Source organism: Homo sapiens, chromosome 12 (genome assembly GCF_000001405.40).
Source record: "Homo sapiens chromosome 12, GRCh38.p14 Primary Assembly".
Taxonomy (NCBI): domain Eukaryota; kingdom Metazoa; phylum Chordata; class Mammalia; order Primates; family Hominidae; genus Homo; species Homo sapiens.
This window is the reverse complement of record NC_000012.12, coordinates 72,068,560-72,078,231: the sequence shown is the minus strand read 5'-3', so window position 1 is coordinate 72,078,231 and position 9,672 is coordinate 72,068,560.

Sequence of the window (9,672 nt, the reverse complement as noted above, 5' to 3'; positions counted from 1 at the left end):
ATAGAACAAAAAATGGCCTATTAGGGAAAAAAAGAAAATAGTAGGACGTATTACTGAGTTCTGTTATCATGTGGCCTTTTTAAATACGATCGCGATTTTTTCTAATAAAAATAAATAAATAAAATAAAAAATAAAATAAAATAAAAGTTCCTATAGAGGCTGAAAATTGTGCCAAATAGGATATGTGGAACAACTAGAAAATAATTAATAGCCATATTCTGTAGATAACTACAATAATAACTCAAGAAAAAAAAGATCAGGGAAAGCTGACAAGATCAAGGAAAAGTTAAGATTAGAAAAGGGACTTGAAAGTGAAATAACATCTCAATAAATGCAGACATTTCTGACAAGGAATGCAGAATGAGCACTAGCAGGAAGGAAAAAAGGAGCAACGCATATAGCAAGATATATAGAGAGAAGACTCATTTGACTAACATGAAGATGATTAACACAATATAACTATGACAATGGCATCTTCTCTATATATTATGTACATATCAATATGTGTTTATTTGCATTTCTACATTTAGGTGCTGGGGATAAAAATAGCTTGCCATCCACAGATTTCAAACTCCTGGGGGATGGAGATATTATCCATGACACGCATCTGACTCATTTATAGCATCTTTCAAAATCTCCCTAGACACAAAGCAAAAAGAAACGGTAATAACAACACGTTGTCTTTAGATAGTATTCTTTGTGAAATAATTGGAAGAATCTTACAACAGAAATTACATGTATTCTTATGTCTCTATAAGGTAAGTAGATAAAAAGCTTTTATCTGCAATTCAGACAGGATGAATAAAGGTGTTAAGTGACTTGTCCATGCTGTGTTTCTGGCTAAATTTCAGGTGACTCTCTATAATTATTTAGCGTTTCAGGTGGCTTTGGAAATTTCTCCTCTTCTATCCCTGCAGAGTGCTTCCATTGTCTTCCCCATTCCTGCCGCAGGGCTAATAGGTCTCTGATAGTAGGCTGCAAGGGTGTCATTAGCCTCTCTCTACTCCATCAGCTCACTTCTCACCAGAAAGAGCTTCAGAACAGTTGGCTAGAAGTTTCCTATTTGGGTTTTTTTTCCTATTTTTCTTTTTTTTACTTTAGCTTGCTCTGGTTTTCCTAAACTGAGGCTGTACATAGAACAATTCAGCTGGAACCCTATAATACAATTGGATCCATTCAACCATTTCTCTGTGTTTGAGGCCATTTCAGGCACAAATCAGATTTTCAACAACCTTCAGACACAGGAACCCAATGCTTACAGTGTAAATAATCAGTTAATCCATGTTTTTAGCTCAAGTGAGATAGGAGAGATATTGAAATCTTAGATCCTCTCCTTTTCAGTCAATACATGTAAGTACAATTAGTCCTTTCTGTTGTGTTGTATATGGAATAAACCTAGAAGTCGAGGAGGCTTAATTACAGAGCCCACTGTGCCATAACTTGGTATGCAATGAAGTACAACGAGCACAGGGCTTTAAAACAGTACAGATTTCAGCAAACGTATTGACTGGGCTGTGTGACACAGAGGAAGTTACTTAACTTCTCTGATCCATCTGTAAGAAAAATAGTAACTATTTCATTCACAGGGTGGTTAGGAGGATCAGACAGATTAGCTTATTAAAAGCAACCAGTGGTGTTTCATACAGGTGGTATATATTCAATAATATTAGGAATTGAGTTAGATGAGTTTTAAGGTCCCTTCTGGTACTAACATTTTATGTTGCTATTATTTTTTCCTAGGTACTATAAATTGTATAGCAGTCTGGTTCCCTCTCCTAGCCTGCAAGCTGTACAGCTGCAAACACTTAACTCCCACCTGTAGGCTCAAAATAGCTTCAGGCTCTGAGACTCTTACGACCAAACCTCCGCATTGTACCCCACTTTCAAGAACTAAGTCGCTGCCTTATTTTCTCCCTTGTACTCTCTTTCTCTGAGACTTTAATTCAATCTTTTTCCTCCAACTCTCTCATGATGTGAAGGCCGGTCCCTGAACCCTATTATCATGGCATGGTCAGAACTACATGCTATAAGGACTCCCCGCACTGACCACCTGCCGGCTTGGACACTCACTGCCTGCCTGCTGCCAGTTTGAGAGCCCTAACCCACTAGCCAGGACACCTGTCTACAGACCACTGCCAGGCCTCCCAGATACCAGCTAGCCCCCTGCCGGCTTACCTCACAGTGCGCCTATGTGAAAGCCCCGCCCTGCTCTCTCCTGCCCAGCTGAAGCCAATCCTACTTATAGATCCTGGACAATCAGCCCAAACCTAGGCCTGCCATGGGCATGGCCACTGACACAAGCACAAGGATCTAATACTGCTTCTTAGTTCTGCAAAGAATTCATGCTCCTTATACATTTGAGATAAACTATCTTAAGCTCTGTATTTAATCTACGTTGTAGCCTATTTTTTATCTAATTTTTTCGTTTCCTGAATTTGCATTTTTGTTGTGGTAAAACATTATACAAAAAAGTGCACAAAACATAACTGCATAGCTTAATGGATTATCACAAATCAAACATACCCATGTAATCAACACCAACAAGCCTCGCTGTGTCCTCACATGGTAGAAAGACAGCTCTGGTGTCTCTTCCTCTTCTCATAAGGCACCAGACTTATCGGATTAGCGCCCTACCCTTATGACCTCACTTAGGCTTAATTACTTCCTGCAGGTCCTATTTCCAAATACAGTCACACTGCAAGTTAGGGCTTCAGTTGGGAATTCTGGAGGCACCCAGTTCATTCCACAGCAGCTGTAAAAATACATTTAAAAAAAAACTAATGTTTATTTTGTGGTTATATATGCCATTACTTTACCCACAATATCTCATTTAATGCCCCAACATCCTATCAGGTAACTACTATTATTGTCTACATTTTATGCATAAGAAACAGAACCCAGGAAAAGGTTAAATAATGAAAATCAGAACATGCCTTCCTCCTGATTAAAATTCTCCAATGGCTTCCTATTCATCTTAACATTAGATCCAAACTCTTTACCATAATATACCAGGCCTTCCTCATCTGGCCCTATCTGCCTTTTTGTTCTCATCACCCACCATTTCCCCTTCACACACTGCATTCCAGCTGCACGAGGCCTCTTCCTGTCCCTCCCCACCAAGGCTATTACCCTCTCAGGGCTTTGGCACATACAGTTCTCTCTATCTGGAATGTTCTCACAGATCCTTGCATGTTCAACTGTTCGTGATTTAAGTCCTAAATGAAATACATCTTCTCGGACCTGGCCACACTATCTATCTGCCCCTCCCAATTACCTTCCAAAATAATAGTCTATTTTTACACTCCTTATAAAACCATTTTAAATTATGTTCTTTTTAATTATCATTTCATGTTTTATTTCATTCCATTTTTGGTAGTCAACATGTGATATTAGAATGTCAGTTATAAGGATAAAGAACTTGTCTTTCTTCTTTACCTCTTTAGCTCCAATGCCTAAAACTTAGCATATAATGGCACCAAGTTACATTGAATAAATGCATGAATAGATGAATGAATGAATGATTTGTCCACAGTCACACAGTTAAGTAAATGGCAGATCATAGATTCTAAAACCATTCATTCTTATTTCAAACTCCACAAAGAAATGCCTGAAAGAATTTATTTCAAAATTATATGTCAAAATTAAAATCAAGGAATAGATTAATTTTTGGAAGGATCTGATTCAATAATAATTATAGCTACCATTTAAGAAGGGCCTACCCTGTACTATGTACTCTGCTAAGTGCTTTCTAAGCACTGTCTACTTAATCCTCAAAACCACTCTATAAAGTAGCTGTTATTATCCTCATTTTGCACAGGAAATTGAAGTTCATAGAGGTTAAGTAATTTATCCATGTCACGCCTAACAGGAGACTGAACTAAGATGGAACCCAGGTCCATCTGTCTCCAGAATTTGAGCTATCACACTCCAGACCATAAAAATTGAGTCTGTTTTAAAATAATGTCATATCAACAATATATATTTCCTGATCTAAATATGTATTTACTTGGTGCTTTAAAAATAAACTGTAAACAATTTGTGTCCAAAAATCATATGTAAATTTTATTATCACTCCTGACATTATTCTGGTCTTCAATTATTTTTCCCACTAGAGAAACAAAATATTATTTGATGGTGAAATTTTCTCAGCACTAAAATCTAATATGTTATATAGAAGAGCACTTCTACTAGTTAGAAATTATAGATGGCAGATGTCCAGTGCTAATTCATTGCCTTTTAAATGAAATAGCAAAAACATCTTTGAAGGGACATTTACACCACCTAAGTCACCTTCCAAAGTGTGGTGTGTTGGCGATTACTAACCAGCACAAACTGCCGAGGTTAATGAATAATGCTAATCTGAATCAATCTGCATAAACTCCATCTACTCATATTTTTTTCTCTAGTTTTCTCTTGAGATGGCTATTTACAAGCTAAAGTAGAAATTAGAGACTTACAAAGAGATATCAGACACCTATACTATTAAAACATCTGTGGATACAGAATACTCACTTGGACATGGGAGAAACAGATGATAAAGTCTCTTGACTGTTTCTTATCCAAGTGGTCTGTCTCCAACAGGCCTGGAAAACCAGCCTTTGACGAAGCATTTGAGTTATTACCTGTTAGATAAAGAATTCTACAAGGGAAAAGAAAAAAAAAAAAAAACAATCTGCCTAAGAAATCTAGAAATAATGACAAGAGAACAAGTTGGTATGAGTTGCTAAACTGGATAATATTCTGAAGCAAGTAAATGGAGTAAAGTCTAAACACTGCCACTAAAAAAAAGAGAAGGGAGGTATTAGAAGCTTCCTACCAACAGCCTAGAAGAACATATCCTTATTGCAGATCCAGCTTATAAACCCAGTGCACCATATTTCATGAACATCAGAACATCAGGTACCACCAAATGGATTTTTCATCACATACTTAAATTTTTCTAAATAAAAATGAATGTATATCATTCTCTCCGGTGCTTTCATGTCTCTAAACTGCTGGTGACAGAAGGATCAAGTTTAGTGATGTAAAAATTCTTTAAGTTCTCTGGAATGGATCTATAGGCCAGATCTAAATATCTCCTTATTAAAATCCACCTTTATCAAAGATATGAGAATGACTATGGAAAATGTTTCCCAATTCTACCCTTCATTTGTACTTCTTGGCTGTCTTCCTAGATGAATAAACCTGTTTCCCAGCCTCCAGTCAATTCCCCAAAGCTATCCATCATGCCTATGCCTGTTAAAGGAGTGTATTTTCCTCTTAAACTCAAGTATAAAGATATTTCTTGCCTGCCTAAAACCCCTACTAATGCCTGTTTCCTACAGAATAAAGTTCAGATTCTCCAGACTTGCCCTTCAGGCCATCTGCAATTTGGCAGTTTTCCAACTCTCCAAACATGTGTTCAGTAGGCACAACTGTGTTTCCATCACACAATTATGCTCAGTTCCCCAAGGGAAGTTAGAGCTACTTATTTCTAGGCCAGCATTTCTCAAACGCCTTTGCTTCAATGGGCTTCCCAGAAATCTTTTAGGAAAGAATGCTCTGGCCTTTGTTCAGGCAGTTCCCTCTGCCTGGGATATGCTCTTTTTCCACATGTTCAAAGTCCCAGCCTTCTGTGGAAGTCCACATCAAAGTCTCTGGCAGCAAATAAATCCCTCTCTCCCTCACTCTTACAGATCACGTGGAAGCTTTCTTTTATCACTTTATATACTAATATAAGCACCAATATGTACCAATATAAGCACAAGCTTTACAGTTAACAAAGTAACTTTCACATATATTTCACATAAAACACAATGCTTTATAGTTTACAAAATAATTTTCACATATATCGTCTCTTTAAATGATTACAAATGTCCTGTGTTTTTGGCAGTATTTTCTTGGAGAGAGAGGGAGGCATTTTTCAGGACTTCAGACCAGTTACTTCTATCTGAACATCAGTTTTATTTGTAAAATAGAAATACTAATGATACGGTTTGGCTCTGTGTTCCCACCCAAATGTCACCTTGAATTATAATAATCCCCAAGTGTGGTGGGAGGGACCCAGTGGGAGGTAATTGAATCATGGGGGCATGTTTTTCCCATGCTGTTCTCATGATAGTGAATAAGCATCACGAGATCTGATGGTTTTATAAAGGGAGTTCCCCTGCACATGCTTTCTTGCCTGCTGCCATGTAAGATGTGCCTCTGCTCCTCCTTCACCTTCCACCATGATTGTGAAGCCTCCCCAGCCATGTGGAACTGTAAGTCCATTAAACCTCTTTCCTTTATAAATTACCCAGTCTCATGTATGTCTTTATTAGCAGCATGAGAATGGACTAATACAGTGAATTGGTACCAGTAGAGTGAGGTGTTGCTGTAAAGATACCTGAAAATGTGGAAGCGACTTTGGAACTGGGTAACAGGCAGAGGTTGGAACAGTTTGGAGGGCTCAGAAGACAGGAAAATGTGGGGAAGTTTGGAACTTGCTAGAGACTTGTTGAATGGTTTTGACCAAAATGCTGATTAGTGATATGGACAATGAGGTGGTCTCAGATGGAGAAGAGGAATTTGTTGGGAACTAGAGCAAAGGTGACTAGTGTTATGTTCTAGCAAAGAGATTGGAGGCATTTTGCTCCTGCCCTAGAGATTTGTGGGACTTTGAACTTGAGAGAGATGATTTAGGCCATCTGGTGAAAGAAATTTCTAAGTAGTAAAGTGTTCAAGAGGTGCTGTTAAAAGCATTCAGTTTGATGTATTCACAAAGATATGGGTTTGGAATTGGAACTTATGTTTAAAAGGAAAGCAGAGCATAAAAGTTTGGAAAATTTGTAGACTGACAATGCCACAGAAAAGAAAAATCCATTTTCTGAGGAGAAATTCAAGCGGGCTGCAGAAATTTGCACAAGTCACGAGGAGCCAAATGTTAATCACCAGGACAGTGGAGAAAATGTCTCCAGGGCATGTCAGAGGACTTTGTTGCAGCTCCTCCCATCACAGGCCTGGAGGTCTAGGAGGAAAAAATGGTTTCAAGGGCCAGGCCCAGGGTCCCTCTGCTCTGTGCAGCACAGGGACTTGGTGCCCTGCATCCCAGCTGCTCCAGCCATGGCTAAAAGGGGCCAAGGCACAGCTCAGGCCATGGCTTCAGAAAGTGTAAGCCCAAGCCTTGGCAGCTTCCACATGGTGTTGAACTTGCAGGTGCACAGAAGTCAAGAATTGAGGTTTGGGAACCTCTGTCTAGATTTCAGAGGATGTATGGAAACACCTGGATGTCCAGGCAGACGTTTGCTGCAGTGATGGGGCTCTCATGGAGAACCTCTGCTAGGGCAGTGCGGAAGGGAAATGTGTGGTTGGAGCCCGCACACAGAGTCCTCACTGGGGCACTGTCTAGTGGAGCTGTGAGAAGAGGGCCACGATTCTCCAGACCCCAGAAAGGTAGATTCACCAACAGCTTAGACTGTGCACCTGGAAAAGCCACAAACACTCAATACCAGCCCAGGAAAGCAGCCTGGAGGGGAGCTGTACCCTGAAAAGCCATAAGGGTGAAGCTGCCGAAGGCCATGAGAGCCCACCTCTTGCATCAGTGTGACCTGGATGTGAGACATGCAGTCAAAGGAGTTCATCTTGGAGCTTTAAGATTTGGCTGCCCTGCTGGATTTCAGACTTTCATGGGGCCTGCAGTCCCTTCATTTTGGTCAATTTCTCCCATTTGGAACAGGTATATTTACCCATTGCCTGGACCCCCACTGTATCTAGACAGTAACTAACCTGCTTTTGATTTTACAGGCTCTTAGGTGGAAGAAACTTGCCTTGTCTCAGATGAGACTTTTTGGACTGTAGACTTTTGAGTTAATGCTGAAATGAGTTAAGACTTTGAGAGACTCTTGGGAAGGTGTTATTAGTTTTGAAATGTGAGAACATGAGATTTGGGAGGGACAAGGGGCAGAATAATATGGTTTGACTGTGTCCCCACCCAAATCTCATCTTGAATTGTAGCTCCCTCAATTCCCATGTGCCATGGGAGGGACCCAGTGGGAGGTAATTGAATCATGGGAGCAGGGGGTCTTTCCACTGCTGTTCTCATGATAGTGAATAAGTCTCATGAGATCTGATGGTTTTACAAAGGGGAGTTTCCTACACAAGCTCTCATTTTTTCTCTTGTCTTTTGCCATGTAAGATGTGTCTTTCGCCTTCTGCCATGATTGCAAGGTCTCCCTAGCCACATGGAACTGTGAGTCCATTAAACCTTTTTCTTTATAAATTACCTGCTCTCAGGTATGTCTTTATCAGCAGTGTGCAAATTTACTAATATAATTGGGAAAGCATGATTGGTTTTGAAATGTGAGGACATGAGATTTGGGAGGGCCTAGGGGTAAAATGACATGGTTTGGATCTGTGTCCCCATCTAAGTATCACCTTGAATTATAATAATCCCCACGTGTGGTGGGAGAGACTGGTGTGAGGTAATTGAATCGTGGGGATGGGCTTTATCAGTGCTATTCTTGTGATAGTGAATAAGCCTCATGAGATCTGATGGTTTCATAAAGGAAATTCCCCTGCACATACCCTTTTGCCTGATGCCATGTAAGACATCCCTTTGCTCTTTCTTCACCTTCCACTGTGACAGTGAGGCCTCCCCAGCCATGTGGAACTGTGAGTCCATTAAACCTCTTTCCTTTATAAATTACCCAGTCTGGGGTATGTCTTTATTAGCAGCATGAGAATGGACTAACACAACTAATAACACACAATTAAAGAATCACTGAGAATATTGTCATTTTTACACCAAGGTATTTGTTCCCAAGGACCTTAAACCGTTCTCACACAGGGAACACAAAGTGATGGACTGTGAACAAAATCTGACCAGCACATATACTGAGTTTGGCCTGCCCAGTATGTTATAAATTTAGTCAACATTTAAAAATTAGAAGTTCACATAAAATTCAGATTAGCTCTTCAGCTTCTCTCTGTCCCCTCAAAAGAAGGAGATGGAGAAGAAAAAGGACAAGCAGAAGATGAAAAGCTGGAGGAAGAGGAGGAAGGGGAGGAAGAAGAAGGATTTACCATTCCTATATGACAATAATACTCTGGAGTTGAGTAGCTGGAGTTCCCTTTGAAGAAGTGAGTGGTCTCCAGTGTGTCATAGTCCCCATCATTCTTTATTGTTTTCCTGACATGAAAGCCAAGTGTCAGCCCCCCTCAGCCATCACACATTATTTTCTCATAGAAGAGAAATATATCTCAAAGATGTCTCTATCATAATTGGAAAACTGAAGGATAATCTAAGAGAAACTCATGTTTCAATAAAACCAAGGAATAGCACAAACTCTGTGGAAGTGAAAGTTCTTTCTACACACTTAATAGTCAAAGAAAGTGGCCTATACCTGTGCTGCTTCACTCATTTACATTACCAACCTGTTCCCTGAAAACATTTGGATTTGCAACAATTGGCCTTGATTGGAAATCCCATGAAAGAGAGTCAATATTTTGCTGTTATTGTTTGCTACCATATCTTCCATACCTGGCACAAAGTAGGTCTTCAATAAGTGTTTTTAAAAGAAACACAGTTAAATACTAGGGGAGACAAGTATTTAGAAATAATAACTGCAATTGCCTATTGGCAAGTGCTTTAAAAGAAATATATACAAAATACAATGGAAACACAAATGACTTTGCCTCCTTATCCAGCATAAC